At 41.1% G+C, this 20,190-nt stretch overlaps 1 annotated feature.

The window, feature by feature from the left end:
* Positions 13,692–14,891: an enhancer, noted in NCBI's record as "CDK7 strongly-dependent group 2 enhancer chr7:94506840-94508039 (GRCh37/hg19 assembly coordinates)". NCBI's record gives its function as "activates an origin of replication core promoter dependent on BRD2, BRD4, P300/CBP, MED14 and CDK7 cofactors, with strong dependence on CDK7, by STARR-seq in HCT116 cells {active_cell/tissue: HCT116}" and the evidence as "EXISTENCE:reporter gene assay evidence [ECO:0000049][PMID:35650434]".

The following is a 20,190-nucleotide window of genomic DNA, read 5'->3' as shown; positions in this document are numbered from 1 at the left end:
TTTTTTTTCTACCTATATGTGCTAGCCACTAATATTTGGAGGTAAAGGCTAGTACAATCTCACTATTAGGTGATATGTATTACAATTAAGGAACTCCTGGACTAAATTTTACCACACTTACATACACTTATTAGCAAGCAGGCTCAAGTTGTTCTATAAGCTCAAACAAGTCCTAATTATCTCTTCTTTTAGGCACTCCAACAAGCTCCTTGTATGAAAATTTATTTGGAAATACTGTGTAATATTATAGCAGCAGGATCCAACGAACGTTTTAGGAGTCAGAGGAGGAAATTTTAAGCTATGTAATTGAATACAGGACAGTTCAAATATTACATGTGGTGTACCACTCAGTGCATTTCAAACTTTAAAGCGCATTCAAATCTTGTTGAAATGTAAATCTTTTAAAAATACTAATCTGGAATAGGTCTGGGGTGAATCTGAGATTCTCAGTTTCTAACAAAATTCCTCCTGTTGCTGGTGCTGCTAGTTTAGATTTCACTTTGTCTATCAAGGGTATTAAACCACTGATCTTGGTAAATTATTTCTTCTTTTCTTTTTTGAGACAGGTTCTTGCTCTGTCACCCAGGCTGGAGTGCAGTCACGCGATCTCAGCTCACTGAAACCTCGACCTCTTAGGCTCAGGTGATCCTCCCACCTCAGCCTCTTAAGGAACTGGGACTACAGGCACACACCACCATGCCTGGCTAATTTTTGTATTTTTTTGTAGAGACTGGGTTTTGCCATGTTGCCCAGGCTGGTCTTGAACTCCTGAGCTCAAGCAATCCTCCCACCTTGGCCTTCCATAGTGCTGAGATAATAGGCATGAGCCACTGCGTCTGGCCTAGTCTTGATAATTTTTTTTTTTTTTGAGACTGAGTTTTCACTTTTGTTGCCCAGGCTGGAATGCAGTGGCACAATCTCGGCTCACTGCAACCTCCGCCTCCCAGGTTCAAGCGATTCTCTTTCCTCAGCCTCCCAAGTAGCTGGGATTACAGGCGCCTGCCACCACACCCGGCTAATTTTTGTATTTTTAGTAGAGATGTGGTTTTCACCATGTTGGCCAGGCTGGTCTCAAACTCCTGACCTCAGTTGATCCGTCTGCCTCAGCCTCCCAAAGTGCTGGGATTACAGGCACGAACCACCGCGCCTGGCCTAGTCTTGGTAAATTTTTATACCCTGTTCATTCAGGGGTAGGAGGGCCTATACAGTCTTCTTAGTCACACATATATCTTGAACACCAATGAACAATTTCTAACATTTTTTGTATTTTAAAATGCACCTGGTGTTGATAGTAATTGGAACAGCTACCTCTCTAAAGCCTGGATTACGGAATTACTTGGTCTTTCAAATTGAAACTACCTATCCCTGAACTGTGTATTCAGTATTAGGGTGCTTATAATGTTAGCTCACATTTATATTATGGTGCCTGTGGTGGATCATTTGATATAAATTAGCCTCATTCCCACTCTGAAACTCTAAGTTTGATCCTCCTCTTTACCATTTCTTCTTCTCTGTTTCAAATCTGAATGCAGGCCAGGCTCAGTGGCTCACACCTGTAATTCCAGCACTTTGGGAGGCTGAGGTGAAAGGATCCCTTGAGGCCAGGAGTTTGAGACCAGCATAGGCAAAATAATGAGAAGTTGTTTCTACAAAAATAAATAAATAAATAAATAAATAAATAAAGACAATAAGCTTTTCTCCTCACCACTCTCCCTCATTTTCACTTTGAATTGTGACTGTAGTGCCTTTACCTTCAACCCAGGCTGAGACATTGAACATCCTGGGTAACATTGTATAACAGAGTAACTTTTACAGAAATGTTGGTGCCAGATTAATTAAATGAGATTCTCTGGAAGTGAATCTCCAGGTTGTTGTAGTTTAGTTTGTACACTTTCCCTAGGTAATCCTAATATGCAGCCAGGGTTGAGAATTATGACTGTAGTACACTGATTCTCAAACTTGGCTGAATTTTGGAATCCCCTGAGGAGTTTTCTAAAAATACAGCTGCATGGGTCTCACCCCAAAAGATCCTGACTTCATTTTTCCGGAGTGCAACCTAGGCATCAGGATTTTTAGGAGTTCCCCAAGGGATGTTAATATTTCTTAAAATTTGAAAAGCACTACCCCAGTAAGTGATAATTAGTAAGATCATAACTCGACAGCCAATTCCCAGAATGCTGCTTGGTTCTGTTTATAACCTCAACTTCCAGAATTGGTTGAAGCAAAACAGCAGGATGCCTAGCAATTTCTTTCACATTAGGGAAAAGGATTTGGTTTACTTTCAAGGCATACCATACCCAGGTCTCACTGAAATCTGGTCAATGTTATTTGTAAGAAAGTTATATTTGTTTTATTATATGCATGTGCCTAAGGATACACTAACAGAGTTTTAACACAACTTAAGTTGCATAACTAAATTGACAATGCAGATCAGAATCTGGAGAGATGGGTTAGGAAGAAGGCTTATTAGTCTACATTTTTAAGGAGGCTCACAGTTGATGCTAACAGCATTTGTGAGACTATGGTGAGCATGCCATAAAAGTAGAATTGCCTAAGTGCTTGGTAGCCATCTAATTGTTTATCTGGTGTCTTTTGAGGCTGAAGGGGATCAGGATATGCCACACCAAAATTTGCCACTTTGGTATAAGAATTATTTTGAATTGAAGGCAACTGAAAATCAACAGATGCAGGAGGACTTCTCTGCTCTTCCCTTATCTGCCTAAAAGCAGCACATAGATTTTCTCTTGTGCTGTTTCCCTTTCCTGTACCAGGAAGAGGAGAGTAGCTCATCACTGGAGATGGAGAATTAACACTAAGATGAGTTTGCATCAACAGACTTTACTAAAATAATCTTATTCTCCATCAGTTCTCCCATATATTTCCTAATCACTTCCCCATGATTTATTATTGGGTTTTAAAGCCCAACTCCCTTTCCCTTTGTCATAATGGTATGCAAGTCCCTGAGTTTAACTGTTTCTTTTAGTTCTTTTTTATGAACTCTCATGCAGGTAAATATTATAAAATAAGTGTGTCTTTACTCCTGTTAACCTGTCTTTTGTTAGTTTAGTTCATAGGCCCTGAGTCACTGATCTAAGAGGGTGGCAAAAAACATTTTCCCCTCCTTGACAGTTTTGGCAATGAGGATGGGCTGGTTGGGCTTGAAGTCTTTGCTTGCTCCTGAGGCTCTGGCTGAGATCTCAGGACGTCCAACAAAGCTGGCAAGATAAGAATAATTACCAATGCAGCCACCTGGATTCCTACTTAGAGTCTAGTTAAGTGAGGCCTGTAAGGACCTCTTCCTAAGTTTAGCTTAACAGGAAAAAAATGTTCGTAAGAACTAGTTCTTTGGATATTGCAACTCTTGGGATTTTGATTTGAGTCATTTTGTTATTGATCTTTTCCTTCCCTGGGATGGTCACTGTTTTATCTTAATCTCTGTGTTTTGTGTCATTTCTCCATAAGGAGGAGAATCATAGAACACAAGAATAAGTCTTACAAGCCTATTGTTCAAGTCGGCCTCACAGACTGGTGAATTTATAGTTCTCACCAACCCAGCATTCACGTTGACAAACTTTGTCGTGGGTCACTGATTAAAAAATACCGGATAATGTTCTCCTTCCTTGTTTTGTGTTCTGAGAGCTTGGCTTGGATCCAGAGAGTGTTCTCTCTCTGGTGTTCTGCCTGCAGGGGGAGGAGAGTAGCAGGCACAGGTTCTTGGGCCTTTGTCTAGCAATGACTAGCTATCAGGATAGGGCACCCAAGACACAAGGTGCACAAGCAACCGTTTCTGTCTGACTATGCCAGCTCTCAGAGGAATTAGTCTAAATAATTTTGTTTTTTCCCTCCTGCAGTTTGCATTCAAAGAATTAGTCTAAATAAAGGGCCCTAGTCCATAAGGAGCCCTTGTCTCTTCCCACATTGCCTTGTCAGTACTGGGGAAGTCCCATCTCTGTATTGCCTGCCTGGTGTCAGTCTCATGGATTAGCTGGGCTGTGATTGGCAGCATCTCACTATTTGGGAGACTGGAGACATGACTTTTCACAAACACCATTCTTCACTGCCTGTGGCAATGAAGTCCTTTGCTTTAGTTCTTTTTAGCTATCTTTGGGAAAGCCTTTGGATCATGAGAGCTATATCTTCTGCATTCTCTTTGGGAATCCCTCTTGTGACCATGGTTAAGTCATAAAAAGGCTTATTGGTTTTGAGTCACATTAAGAATAGATACGCCTTTGGAGGTATCTATTTTTAAAGAACTTTAAATCCTTTTAAAAGGATTTAGCTCTCACCCTAAACAAATGTCCTATTTGTACCTATGGGAGGATCAAATTGAAAGAGGATGCAAAAAAGCACCGTGGCTAGCCTAAAAGACTTTCTTAACAAGATTAAAGAGCAGAAATCAGATTTAAAAGTTTTTATTATTTTTATTTATTTATTTATTTGACGAAGTCTTGCTCTGTTGCCCAGGCTGGAGTGCAGTGGCTTGATCTTGGCTCACTGTGACCTCTGGCACCTGGGTTTAAGCGATTCTCCTGCCTCAGCCTCCGAAGTAGCTGGGATTACAGGCTCGTGCCACCACGCCCAGCTAATTTTTGTATATTTAGTAGAGATGGGGTTTCAGCATCTTGGCCAGGCTGGTCTTGAACTCCTGACCTTGTGATCCACCCACCTCAGCCTCCCAAAGTGCTGGGATTACAGGCGTGAGCCACTGCACCCGGCCTGAAAGTTAAATTCCACACCCACTGTAAATTCCTCCTCTCACCTCCCTCCTATACTTCCCTTTACTCCAACTCCCTTTCCCCGACCCTATAGAAGATTTTTTTGAATCTCTGGATCTCTGCCTCAAATTCTCCTCTCCATGATCTGGCCCTACCTCCACAAAAATTACTTTAATTCCTGAAACTCCTCTGATTTTCCCAGAAAATCCCTCAATCACTCAACTGTCCACTTTAACTTCTCTTTCTTCGCAAGAATTGCAAAAAGTACTCTAGCCTGACCTACAGGTGTAGACATACACATTACTATGTAAATGACAATAACCACAGATAGTTCTGGCAGAGGCTCTGTGAATGCTCAGCAAGACTTATTTTACTTTCCCTTATAATCCCACCTTCTTCCTAGGACTCCGTAATCAGATCCCATCAGCTCCAGGTCTTCCCATGCAATATGCATTGTGAATGTATCCTGGATTCCCACCATGAAGAATTCGTTTACCCTGGACAGTAGCAGGTCTTTTAAATTTTATATCCCTCTTACCTCCACTTTCTGAAAATTCTATCAAATTTAGAAAGTATGTAGAAAGAATCGTGGCTGTCCATAGCTTGACTCATAGGGCCCACAACAGGTTTCCAAGAGGTTTTCTTCCCACTCATGATTATATTGTAGTTATTCAACAAGCCAGGCGGCCCTCTGGGGAAAATCCTCTTCAACAGGGAAACAGATGGCTAGTACCCCTCCTTGGACCCCCATGAATGACCAGGAATTGACACAGTTGGAGACTGACATTCAAAGCTTAATAAGCGTGATTGTGAGGATTTCTCCCTCTAAGGTTGAATTCTTCACTTAGAAAGAAGGTGAACATCAAGCTGAGTGTGGTGGTTCATGCCTGTAATCCCAGCACATTGGGATGCTGAGGCAGGAGGATTACTTGATCCCAGGAGTTTGAGACCAGCCTAGGCAACATAGTGACCCTGTCTCTACAAAAAAAATAAAAAATCTTCCAGGAGTAGTGGTACATACCTGTACCACTCACCTCCTACATACCTGTAGTCCCAGCTACTTGTGTGCCTGAGGTGAGAGGATTGCGTGAGCCCAGGAGGTCAAGATTGCAGTGAACAGTGATTTTGCCATTGCACTCCATCCAGGGCAACAGAGTGAGACCCTGTCTCAAAAAAAGAAGAGGAGAAGGAAGAAGAATAAGAATAAGAAGGAAGAGGAGGAAGAGAGGGAGGGGGAGGGGGAGATGAAGAATAGAAGAAAAGAAGAAGAAGAAGAGGAGGAGGAGGAGAAGAAGGTGAACAACCTAAAGACTTCATTCAACAATTTACAAAAACATTCTTTTTTTTTTTTTTTTTCTTGAGACGGTCTCACTTTCTTACCCAGGCTAGAATACTGTAACATGAACATGGCTCCCTGAAGCCTCAACCTCCTGGGCTCAAGTGATCTTCCCACTTCATCCCTCCAAATAACTGGGACTACAGGAGTGCACCACCATGCCTGGCTATTTTTGTATTTTTTTTTGTAGATATAGCGTGTCACTATGTTGCCCAGGCTGGACTTGACACCTGAGCTCAAGCGATCTACCTGCCTCAGCCTCCCAAAGTGCTGGGATTATAGGTGTGAGCCACCGCACCCAGCCAATTTATAAAAACATTCTGTTACAGTAGGTAGCTAGTCAGGCATGAGCAGGGTGAGAGAGGGCTCTGCCTGACCAGGAATGTCAGGCAACCATCAGGTGATGGTTAGGCAGTTGTTAACTGACTCTACAATAATGACTGGCCCGTAGCCAGCGCCAGGGAAAGGCAGCCTCCCTATAGTCAGAAAAAATCTGAAACTAGTGATCAGCAGCTTCCCAATAAGATCTCAGGAATTGGGCAAGTGGGCTCACACATGCACATTAAGAGGCAAAATGGTGGAGTTTAACTGGTATATGACCTTCTAGGAGCATTTGCTGGTAAGGGAAGAATGCCCCAAGTGAGCATGCATACGACTCCAGTAAACACACTGTACATGCTCCCCTCCCAAGTGCTGGCAGGCCACCCACTGCACATGTGGACAGCTTACCCCCAAAGGAAGAATCAGGGGAGAAGGGATGCAAGACCCCAGGAGTATGCCAGTGTACAAAACCCCAAGTCAAAAGGTCAAGCTATGCACTTGATCTCTCAAGTCACCCCCTTGGCCCTCTTACAATTGTACTTTACATCCTTTCATTCCTGCTTTAAGCTTTTCAATAAACTTTCACTCCTTTTCTAAAACTTGCCTCAGTCTCTCTTCCTGACTTACGTCCCTCAGTCAAATTCTTTCTTCTGGGGAGGCAAGAATTGAGGTTGCTGCAGACCCCATATGGATACAAATTCTCCACTGGCGCAATTCTAAAGGTACATTGCAGTAAATCCACAGGTTCCAGAACATAGGAATTGCTTAATTTCTGCCTTAGTTTGCAATCTTCTCTCAAAAGACAAAAGCAAAATACAGATGCTCCTCAACTTACAATGGGGTTACGTCTCAAATTCACTATAAGTGGAAAATATCCTAAGTCAAAAATGCATTTAATATACCTAACACTATCATCATATGAACATCAAAGCCTAGCCTCGCCTACCTTAATCACGTTCAGAACACTTATATAAGCCTACAGTTGGGCAAAATCATCTGTCAACAAAGTACCTTATATTGACCTAAAAGGAAGAAGCTGGCCGGCACGGTGGCTTACACCTGTAATCCTAGCACTTTGGGAGGCTGAGGCGGCTGGATCACCTGAGGTCAGGAGTTCAAGACCAGCCTGACCAACATGGTGAAACACCATCTCTACCGAAAATACAAAAAATTAGCCAGGCATGGTGGCAGGCACCTGTAATCCCAACTACTCGGGAGGCTGAGGCAGGAGAATCACTTGAACCCAGGGGGCGGAGATTGCAGTGAACTGAGATGGTGCCATTGCACTCCAGCCTGGGCAACAAGAGCAAAACTCCATCTCAAAAAAATAAAATAAAAGGAAGAAGCTGAGGCAAAATTAATATAAGTAGAGTTTATTTGGCCAGCCTTGAGGATTGCAATACAGGAGCATAGATTCAGATTGCCCTGAATATACACTCTGATCAGTAGCAGTTACAAGTGGATTTTTAAAGGCAAAAAAAAAAAAAAAAGATGGGCACAGGGAGCGGGCTGATACAAATTTGTTTGTTCAGAAATTCTCATTGGTTTATAGAAATAACATTGATTAGTGATTGTACATTGTTAAGCTATAGGGTATGGGTTAGCGTGTCCACTGTGGCATTATTGGGCTAATTTATAGCTACTTGTGGCAATAGCCAGAAGTTTCAAGAGATGAATACATAGCTCAAAGGTGGAGGAGGGAGTGATTGCTGTCTCATTTTAATGCCTCTCTGGGCCTAATAATAGGAAAGGGCTCATATTCCTCAGATGAAAGTTCTCTTTATTCCTCACCTGTGGAGTATCAGTTGTGGTCATCCTTGTGATTGTGTGACCGACTGGGTGCTGACACTTGCTGTTGATGCCCTACACCACAAGAGTAGCATATTGCTAGCCCTGAAAAAGATCATTCAACACTTGAAGTACAGTTTCCACTGACTGTATGACTTTCACACCATCATACAGTTGAAAAATCCGAAATGGAAACATTGTAATGAGGCAGGATAGTAACCAGGTAGTCAAGAAAGTAACTATGTCCTCAGGATTCAGCAACAATGCCGCCCCAATAAGCCCAGTGTTTGCATTGTAGTCAAGCTCATTCAAGCAAAACTATCTCCAGTAGGAAACCTCCCCTGTAGAGAGCATGTGCATTGTGATTTGACCAGTCATCAGACTGACCCTTTGCTTATTATAACAGTAAAAATCACACCCCTGGGTGGAGCTTTAAAATATTAATGAGACATGTGATGTATAAACAAGCATGTACAGCTACTGTGCATGTGCACCCAGAGGACCACCCAAAACATGCTTCCTAGCAACCTCTTCCCACCCCCTTATGAATAATCATGTAAGCCTCCATAAAGGGAGTTTCCTTAGTAATGGTCAATGCTGTCTCATCCTCATGAGCAGTCCCCTCTGAATTGCCTCTTAGGGTATACTGTCTATTCTGAACCTAACTTTCAGAGTATTCTTTCTCCTTTGCAATAAATTGCTCTATGCAATATCTCCCTTGCTGTGTGTCTTTTGTTGAAATTCTTTTAAACTAAGAAGACAAGAACCTAGGATTCACAACAGCCATCAACAGTAAGTCAGGGACCATCTGTAGTGTGTAGTTGGATGGACAGGCAAGGTTATCATTGATTTTGTCAACCAATTCTTTCAAGAGTTAAAAACAACAGTTCTTGTCTTACTAATTGAGTCTTTACAAAAACAGAAATGCAGCTCTAGAGGTAATGCAAAGCCCACCTATGTTTCTTACCAATCTCAAAATTCATCTCAAAATGCTTGTAGATAATGTAGTAGAAGGTCAGGACATTGCAAAAGGGACTGTCCTATACTAAAAAAAGAAACTTAAATACTAATTACTCTAGGTTCTGATAATAGGCAAATATGCTCCTGAACTCCTCCTTAGAGCTTTAGAAAGCTAACATCATTTCTCTGTCATTCTGTGGTCAGAATGAGTTGGGACAGAGCAAGTAATCAGAATGAGTCAGGGAGGAGCAGGTAATCGGAATGAGTCAGGGTGGAGCAGGTAACCGAAAAATGTTGCTTTATGAGGAAATAAAGTTTAAAAGTAGAAGGCAAAGAATTGAACATACTGACATATTGATTCTTTGAAGAGAAATTTAGAACTCATATCTAACATTCCCTCCTCTTGCATCTTCCTTACAGTTCTTTCTCTTCAAACTTCTTTAACATGTCTTGGCTTAGTTGTTCTGCTTGATTTTCCAAAAGAAGAAGCTTCTCTGGATAAGGTGGAGGATAGCTAAGTGAGGTTTTAGTAAGTGCCATTCTTTTGAGCCTCTGCACCAACCCACAGATGCATGGTGTGACATAGCACCCGACAAGAATAAGTACACCCATTAAGACTGTGAGTGAAGTAAGAATTGAGGCTATTATTCTTTTCCATTTACTGAACCATTGTTCTAGCCATCCTGTAAAGAGGTCATTTACCCTGAGTTGTTGGCTAACTCATTGGACAGAGCAGTCAGACCTTGCAATGTCTTTGTTATACTTCCATCAGGGGCGGTGTTGTCTGGGATGAAGATACAACATTGAGTTTTAATTATGATGCAAACTCCTCCTTTTTTTGCAAATATCATGTCTAAGGCTATCCTATTTTTTCCAAGCCATCTGGCTAGTAGCCCCTAATTGCTCAGCTATTCCTTTAACAGCATTTCTAGTGTAGTTAACAGATCGCTGTTGGTTTTAATAGATGTAGTTTATCTAATCTACATTTTATTAATTGTCACCCACCAAAATATTGACTCAAATCCTGCAGGTGTTTGATTTCGGGCTTTAAATTGATCTGGTATTCCCCATGGGACTCTAATTGTGTCTAAATAGACTTGAGAGTCGAAAGACAAAGACACATAAGGGGCTTCTTTTGCTTTACGATGTCTTATTTTTCCTTTCTCTGACTGATGAAATGCAAGGGTGAACCAATTGGACTAAAGCACAAGTGCCACTTCAGTTACTTGGCAGAGTGTCCAGTCAAGGTCCGCCATAATACCAGTACACATCTGCTCAGGGATGAATAAAGGCTGATTGATTGGTAAGCTCCTGAAAATTCTTAAGGTCACTGCATCCCTTCAGGTCTCCAAGGAACACTAAGTTGCCTCCCTGTCGTGAGGGACATAAAATGAACTTAGTGTTGAGAGACGGAAGCTGGATAGCCCTCGGGGGCTGACCCTCAGGGTGTCAAACTTTGGGATATAGCAGACAGAGAGCTTGGCACAACTTGTTACCTCAGGCTGCAGAATCCTGGAAAAGAGCTACCATGCAGCCCACACCCGGTCGACTGGAGGACCACCCTAGTGGAAAGGGGACAATCTGGGCCTCTGGCCTGCTGTGCACACAAGCATAACAATTGCCTTTGTTTAACGTATGGACGGAATATTTAATCCATTTTAACCAGGCATTTACGGCTTTATACCCCGTTTCAATGGCTATGGTTTGCCTTAGGTTTCCTATTTTTACTACTGAGACCTTGCTTTTGTCACTTGGCATAAGGCGAGTCATAGTTTGACTTCGTAGGTTTGGAAAAGGGGCAGCTGTAGGAGGTGGAGAAGGGAGAACAAAGCACACCTTAAAGAAGCCTATAGGATCTTTTCCAGTGACTTCTGCTCCTAACACAGAAATGCTCTAAAGTGGGGTTAGAGTTGCTAGGGTTAGGAATAGTAACGGATGTAAGCACCGGGTAAGGAAAGGAAAGGAAAAGATAGATAGACTAAGCTTCCCTTAGCTTTAATTTGGTAGGGCTTGATCCAGGAATAATGGCCCATGATTCTGATAATAATGGCACTTGCTTGACTCAGGTGTGATGTGTCCATCCTTTTCCACTGTACGAACAGCAGTCTCGGTGGTTAGTAGCACAAGGTAGGTCCTTCCCAGGCTGGCTCAAGTTTCCCTTCTTCCCACCCTTTGATGAAAATGTGATCCCCAGGCCGATGCTGATGTACTGGAAACTCCAAAGTCGGTGCCTGTGCTAAAAGACCTCTTGTTTTAAGGGAAAAGAATGTGGAGGATAAAACAAGTATATAATTTCTAAGAAACTGATCTTTTGTTTTAAATGTGGGGACATCAGCAGTGGACTTTATTGTTCTTGGTGCCTTCTTGCTGAGAAATTTTCTTTAGCACCTATTTTTATTAGTTTTTAGACAAAGAAAGCCAAACACCATTTTATATTTCACAATGCTTCCTGTATGATTGTTATACCAGATAAGCTAAATTTCACCTTTAGCGTGTTGTTAATGTTAAACTTAATTTTAATAAAACCTTGTAGACATATTTATCCAACTTTAATTTCTGACCATAAGGTAAGATTTTTATACTCTTTTTAACTTTTTATAATTTTTGTTAAAGAGCAGGTTAGTGCTTTAAGAAAAACCAGTTGTGCTTTTAATGTCCAGTTCACAGAAAAACTGGATGATACCCCTTTAACTGTAGCCAATATGTTTACACACAGAATTTCCTTTACAATTAATGTTTCAAAACTTACTTAAATCTTTTAATAAAATATTTTTTAACCTTTTAATGTAGGTAAAAATCCAAATTCTTATGCTTCCTTATAATCCTTTTACCAAAAGTATATTTTACTTTCCTTACACACCTTGCACATAAACTGTTTCTTCAATAGTTTTACATTCAGGAGGCCTAATTGCTTTTAAATTATACAACATTTCTCGCATAAATTCCCTTTTATAACATTTTTTTCATGACTTTCACAGACAATTCCTCAACATGTCTCAACTTTCTGACTTGTTGCAAACATCCCTTTCTTTAAACAACCAGTTATTTTAGAACAAGAATTTACCATATAACATTCTTTCTACATAAATTCTCCGCTGCCCCACCCCCTGCTTTTTTTTTTTTTTTTTTTTTTTCCCAAAAATGATAACCATTCTTTTCCAAAGCAAACTTCCTTTAGGTCTGTGGATTAGACTGCCTAAGGCCACAAAATTAGAAGTTAGGATAGTACATGTTACACTATTAACTTTTAGCAAACTTTACTTTTGTTGAAAACCTTGTAAGTTTGGGAATTCAATTATTCTTTGCCATTAATAAGACCTCATTCAGTCCATATTAACTTAGAATTGGTATAGATGGCTCCTTCCTGATTCTGTTAAGTACTTTTAGGCTTGGTTGAGTGCAAACAGCTCGCAGGTTTGAGCAGACCATTTATTAGGCAATTTTCCTAACTTTTTCTACGAGAGTTTCCTTATCACTTACTGAATACCCACTGTGTCTTTTTCCCTCAATCACCCGGGAGGAACTATCTATCGTACTGTACTGAAGGGAGTTCCCCCAAGGTCGGGTCGGACCTTTGTATAGTAATTAATTAAGATTTAGATCGCCTGTTAGGAAACCTGCTGGGTTAAGGGAATTTTCAGTGGTTACTATTAAATCATCTTTTTCTAACAGAATAGCCTCATACTTTAAGGTTCTTGAGTTAGTAAGCTACCTTTTTGCTATTTTTCTTTTTTTAACTTAGGATAGTTCTGTCCTGATGAGGTGTGCTCAAAATGAGGTTTCCTCTAAAAGTTATTCTTCTACTTTCTTCTGTTAGCAAAGCAGTTGCTGCGACAGATTGAATGCATTTGGGCCATCCGTGGATTACTGGGTTAAGGATTTTTGATTACGAAGGCTATAGGTTGTCAGTGGCCTCAGTGCTTTCAGGCCATGCCCTTGTTTACACTGATGACAAGGTGGTATTGGAGTGTTATAGGGTCATGGAGAAGACCTTCAATTATCAATTATACGTTTTAAATTTACCCTGGCTTTTAAAGGAATAGGGTACACTATTTTCTCTTTATCACTTCTCTTTCTTTCTTTGACTCCCTCTCTCTTTCTCTCTCTCTCTTTGACTTCTTCTTTTTCTGTCTCTTTCTCCCTCTCCCTGCCTCTCTCTTTCTCTCTCTCTCTGACTGTCTCTTTCTCTCTATTTCTGACTTCCTCTCCCAGTTTCTCTTTCCTCTCTGCTGGTCTTTCTCTGCCTCTGCCAGCCGCTCATGCTGCTGTTCTCCCCTCTCCTTCCCCTTCCCCTCGGGGAGGGACTGGCGGGAGTGGAGCTACTCTTTCTTCCCCTGAGAAGAAAGGAAAGGGGAGTTCTGAATATACATATATATTTTTTACTACCGAGGTTTGTGTGAGGTTCAACCCCCTGAAATTTGCAGAAGGCTCAACCACTCAAACCAGCGGTGTCTTGCCTTGCCTGTCCCGGAAGCCTCAACCCCTCAAACCAGGGATGTCTTGCCTTGCCTGTCCTGGGAGGTTGACCTGTTTCTCCCCATTCCCCACTCTGAAGGTCCTTTGCACACTTCCCACTCATGCTGTCCTCTCTGGCCACTCCCCTAAGGGGGAATTAGGATCGTCTTAGTGTTGGTGTGCCGGTATAAATCCTATGGGAGGATCCACCCTAAGCCATATGAGGTAGCTACGGAAACACAGAGAGGACCCACTCACTCCGTCCAGCAGTAGAACTTATCACCATCCACATGAACAACACCGCAAATAGGGTTGTTTGTGATGATTCATGCACACATACATTCAGCCCTCCAGAATTTGACTACCAAGGAAGTACTTTACTGGCTCCCATGGCTTCTCCTTCCTTGGTCTGTGCACAGAGTCATCGCCACAAGTATGTGAGGATCCTTTACCCCAGGTTGCCAACCAGTTTCTTTCTGTGTTGCTGAGAGCTCGTGTTATTCCTGGCACTGAGTGGGTCCTGATTTCTCACCCCTGAGGCCACCACAAGGGGTGGGACATGCCTTCTCACAAGAAAGAAACACAGACTGCCCCCAGAGGGGAATGTAACCCCAAATTGTTATAAATAAAGTTTTGGTGCTGCAAAAGAAATAACACTCAAATGTAAAATTTTCTTTTTTTCTTCTCAGCAAGGCAATTTACTTCTACAGAAGGGTGCTCCCTCACAGATGGAGCAAAGGTGAGTGCACACCTGGGCCAAGAGAGGGGAAGGGGTTCTTATTCCTGAGCACGTGGCCCCTGCTGCTGTGCGGTTCCCCTATTGGCTAATGTTAAAATGGTTATGGAGTCAGGGTGGAGCAGGTAATTGGAATAAGTCAGGGTGGGGCAGGTGATCAGAATGAGTCAGGGCAGAGCAGGTAATCGGAATAAATCAGGGTGGAGCAGGTGATAGGAATGGAGTGAGTCAGTATGGTGCAGGTGATCAGAATGAGTCAGGGTGGAGCAGGTGATCGAAAAAGGTTGCTTTACGAGGAAGTTAAGTTTAAAAGTAGAAGGCAAAGAATTGAACATACTGACATATTGATTATTTGAAGAGAAATTTAGAACTCATATCTAACATTTAAAAATAAATATTGTTAAAAAGCTTTAGCCCTCATATTGAGCAAGTAATCTTAACTTGCTACATCTGCTAGAAATATAATTCAGATTTTAAAAAATGAAGCAGAGGCCGCGTGCAGTGGCTCACACCTGTAATCCCAGCACTTTGGGAGGCTGAGGTGGGTGGATCATCTGAGGTCAGGAGTCATAGACCTGCCTGACCAACATGGTGAAACCCTGTCTCTACTAAAAATACAGAATTAGCCAGGCATGGTGGCACACACCTATAATCCCAGATACTCAGGAGGCTGAGACAGGAGAATAGCTTGAACCCGGGAGGCGGAGGTTGCAGTGAGCTGAGATCACGCCATTGCACTCCAGCCTGGGCAATAAGAGTGAAACTCTGTTTCAAAATAATAATAATAATAATAATAATAATAATAATAAAAACAAAATGAAGCAGAAATGATTCATATAAATGAGTGAATTTTGTGTTTCTGTATTTATACCTCACTCATGGCTAAAATTTTATAAGATCTCTACGTGCATCTGTCTGTATGTTTATGTATATGTATGTACCCTGTGTAGATGTGATATTTATCTACCTCCAAATGATCTTAAGGTCAATTGACAATCAAGAAATGCAGGAAGAAGGTGAGGCACGGTGGCTCACACCTATAACTCTAGCACTTTGGGAGGCTGAGGCGGATGGATTGCTTGAGGTCAGGAGTTTGAGACCAGCCTGACCAACATGGTGAAGCCCGCCTCTACTAAAAAATACAAAAATTAGCTGGGCGTGGTGGCTGGTGCCTGTAATTCCAGCTACTTGGGAGGCTGAGGCAGGAGAATCACTTGAACCCAAGAGACAGAGGTTGCAGTGAGCTGAGATTGCCCTACTGTACTACAGCCTGGGTGACAGAGTGAGACTCCATCTCAAAAAAAAAAAAAAAAAAAGAAATGCAGGAAGAGTTTTCTGCTCTCTTCTGCCTAAAAGCAGGGCATATTTTTCTTTGTGAAGTTTCTTCCTCCCCACCCCACCCACTCATACCTAGGGATACAGAGTCAAAACCAAGATGAAGTGCATGACCAGACCTTACTAAAATAATCTATCTTCCATTATTTTCTTTATATATTTTCTAGTCACTTCACCAAAATTTACCATCCCCTAAAGCCCAAATCTCTTTTCCTTTGTTACAATAGTGAGTAAGCCCCTGAGTCTGTTTTGTCTAGTATCTGAGTGTTACTTCTTTTCTATGAACTCCCACTGGGTAAATATTAACAATTTGTGTCCTTTCTCCTGATAATGTGTCTTTTGTTAGTTTAATTCACAGGTCCCCAGACACTGAACCTAAGAAGATAGAAGAAAAGTTTTTCCTCCCTGAAAAATTTTACATTATGAAGGTCCCTGTCCACCAATACCCCCTTTACTGGACTGGGTGTGGTGATTATAATTTCTACTCTGGACTCACTCCTTATAATAAGGGAACCTTTCCTTAATTAAAGGTAAATATGCCAATATATGTTAAAGTTGATTGTACAAGTTGGATCGTTTTTGTCATATCCAACTAAATCAGAGTGAAGGGGCCAGGGGTAAAAAGCACTCAGGTACATAGCACCAGATCTAATAATTGAATTTTCCTTAAATCCAGCTGCTGAAAGGGCCTGCTGTAACCGACACCAGTTCTACCTAGTAGCTGCTGAAACGACCTGCTATGACTTTAAGACAGGTCTTGAACCCCTGACCTCAAGTGATTCCCCCACCTTGGCCTCCCAAAGTACTGGGATTACGGGCATGAGCAACCGTACCCAGCCAAGGGCTTTTAAAGGCAGAGGTAAATTTCAGGAGAGTAGAAGTTATGGACAAATCATACATGGATCATACATTGGCTTTGGCCTAAAAGGGTGGGATATCTGGAAGCCGGGGCTTACAGCTTGCAGGTAGATTCTACGATTTTCTGACTTGCAATTGCTTAAGGAAGAGAAGCTTTGTTTAAAAATTTGGGAGCAGCAGAAAAGAATGTTAGCTCTAGCCCCTGGGTGTGACCTTCTTCAGGCCCCCCAGGAGGAAATTTAGAACAAAGAATGGAGGTCAGTTTAGTCCTCAACTCCCCCTTATCTGAGATCTACCTGACAGTAGATCCATTTGGTGAGGGTCCAGGTTGGGGTCCAGGTTTCTGAAATAACAACTCAGGGATATATGTTAAGATGTTTCCTTTAGTTTCTATAGATAAGTCAAACATATTTAGACTCTAACTTTCTTGGCTATGGTTTTAGGCTTCTATTATCTTCTTGCTTAAGAAGTTACTTATTTACCTCTCAGAGTTAGCTAGGTGCCTGGAATTTCCCTTGAGGGAACTCCAGACTTTATTTCCCCATCCTTGGGGTGGGGAGGGGCTGGTCAGGCCCCTAAGAGGGAGTCCCAGCTCAGTCTCATTTATTGTTGAGAAATTCATTTATTAACCATTATCTAACATCCATTTAATTCACATGTTCTTAGCAAGTATTCTTGGATTCTTCAGGATGATTTCATGAGATATTAAATAAAGCAGCCATCATCTTAAGTTAGTTTCTTATTAGGCAAGTATCAAAACTCACAGAAGCAAAAAACCTAAAAAGTTAAACATATGGCTTCTTTATATTGCCATGTTTGACATACATCATGCAATTCATTTTTACTGTATATTTTTTCTTAGATTGAATTTATAATTTTATAATCTTAAATATCCAGCAGAGATAACATAAATGTATTTGACTAGTAAACCCAGGTAGAATAAAAATGCATGTCTGCATTATATTTAATGATAACAACTCTGAAGACAAACCTGTTTTTATTAAGCCAATAATATTAAATTAGTTTTATTTGCTAAAGGTTTTCCCAAATCATATGAACTTGAAAAGCATTTGGGTTTGAGAAAGAAAAAAACCTTTTATCTCAGGGATGTGAGCCCCTTTAAGTTATCAGTCCCAGAAAGGCATTTAAAATATAATAGCAGTTATGTCTCAGTCCCCTGTGAACTAAATAATTATCTCTTGGGGCCACTTGCTCTGTGGGATCTAGACTAACAGACGCCAAGTAGTCATAAAATGCCATACATTCTGTAGTTCAACAATGTATAACCAATCACTAACCAATGTTATTTCTATAAACCATGAGAATTCCTGACAAAAAACATTTGTAATCACCCCCTCTCCTGATTCATTCTTTTTTTCTTGAAAAATTTAAGCCTCTCTTTTGTTCTCTGGTACAATCCCCAAGGCAACTTGGAAGTGTGTCCTGGGTTGCAGTCCTCAATATTTGCTCTTGAATAAGCTCTCTTTAAACTGCATTCTGACTCTTTTGATTATTTTAGGTTGACAGGTTAGTTCCTATATTTCTGAGAGTTTTAGGAATACTTAAAAGCACTTATTTACTTTTATTTTTGAGATAGAGTCTCACTCTGTCACCCAAGCTGGATTGTAGTGGCGCAATCCTGACTCCCTGCAACCTCCACCTCCCACATTCAAGCAATTCTTGTGTCTCAGCCACCTGAGTAGCTGGGATTACAGGCATGCGCTACCACGTCTGGCCAATTTTTTTTTGTATCTCTTGTAGAGATGTGGTTTAGCCATACTGGCCAGGCTGGTCTTGAACTCCTGGCCTCAAGTGATCTGCCTGCCTCGACCTCCCAAAGTGCTGGGATTACAGGAGTGAGCCACTGCACCTGGTGGAGCACGTATTTACTTCTAAACCAATTAGAGCTCTTTAGGTGATTTTGGCAATACTATTTGGAGGTAGATAAATATCACATCTACACAACATACCTGCATATACGTAAACATACAGGCAGATGCACATAGAGATCTTATAGCTTTCATTCTAAAATTTTAGTCATAAGTCAGGTATAAATACAGAAATGCAAAACTCACTAATTTATATGAATTAGTTCTGATTTATGCTTCATTTTTAAAAATCTGAATTATATTTCTGGCAGATGCAGCAAGTTAAGGTTACTTGCTCAATATGACAGTTAAAGCTTTTCATCAATATTTATTTTAAAAGACTTCTAAGATTTTCATTTGCCCTGATATATCATCTCAGAGAGACTGTGAAATAAATTTTGGAGGAGAGACATTTTGGGAATACTTAGTGGCTTTCTGGGTTTCCAAAGCCCATCTGAGTGAGACTGACTTTTCGGGCTTGGACTGTATAGGAGATGGATGAGGCCTGTGGCTGCCGGCATTCTCCCACTTTTCTGGCAACACATGTAATGCAGCAGAGGCAGCCATAATCTCTCTGGGAATATAACTTTATTGGCCTGGAAACCACACCCTCATCCCCAGAGCAGCCACAGCAAGCCCCACCTAAGGAGAGTCTGAGCTCAGACAGGCCTAACCTTGCCTCCACCTGATGGTCTTTCTCTACCCACCATGGTAGCCTAAGACTAAAAACATAATAACTTGGGAGCTCTATGGCCCTGCCCACTGCCAGCCCAGAGCACGGTAGCTCCACTGGGTGGCTAAATCCAAAAAAAGTAATAACAATCACTTCAGTTCAGCTCTCAGGAAGCCCCATCTCTAGGGAAAAGGGGAGAGCACCACATCAAGAGAGCACCCCGTGGGACAAAATAATCTGAACAGCAGCCCTAGAGTCCCAAATCTTCCCTTCAACATAGTCTGCCCAAATGAGAAGAAACCAGAGAAACAATTCTGGTAATACGACAAAACAAGGTTCTTTAACACCCCCCAAAAATCACACTAGCTCACCATCCATTGATGGATCCAAACCAAGATGAAATATCTGAATAGCCAGAAAAAGAATTCAGAAAGTTAACTAATAAGCCAATCAAGAAAGCACCAGAGAAAGGTGAAGTACAACGTAAAGAAATCAAAAACAGATACAGGATATAAATGGAAAAATCTCCAGTGAAATAGATAGCATAGATAAAAAAACAGCCACAACTTCTGCAAATGAATGACACACTTTGAGAAGTGCAAAATGCACTGGAAAGTCTCAGCAATAGAATTGAACAAGTAGAAGAAAGAACTTTAGAGCTTGAAGACAAGGCTTTTGAATTAACCCGATCCGACAAAGACAAAGAAAAAAGAATTTTAAAAAATGAACAAAGCCTCTAAGAAGTTTGGGATTATGTTAAATGACCAAACCTAAGAATAATTGGTGTTCCTAAGAGATCTAAAAGTTTGGAAAACATATTTGAGGGAATAATTAAGGAAAAGTTCCTGGCCTTGCTAGAGATCCAGACATCCAAATATAAGAAGCTCAAAGAAGCCCTGAAAAATTTATTGCAAAAAGATCATCGCCTAAGCACATAGTCATAAAGTTATCTAAAGTCAAGATGAAGGAAAGAATCTTAAAAGCTGTGAGGCAAAAGCATCAGGTAACCTGTAGAAGAAAATCTATCAGATTAACAGCAGATTTCTCAGTAGACACCCTACAAGCTGGAAATGATTGTGGTCCTATCTTTAGCCTCCTTAAACAAAACTATTACCAGCTAAGAATTTTGTATCCAGTGAAACCAT

This window comes from Homo sapiens, chromosome 7 (assembly GCF_000001405.40).
Source record: "Homo sapiens chromosome 7, GRCh38.p14 Primary Assembly".
Lineage (NCBI taxonomy): Eukaryota > Metazoa > Chordata > Mammalia > Primates > Hominidae > Homo > Homo sapiens.
Note: the sequence above shows the minus strand (reverse complement) of the source record. Positions and strands in the feature narration are given on the sequence as shown.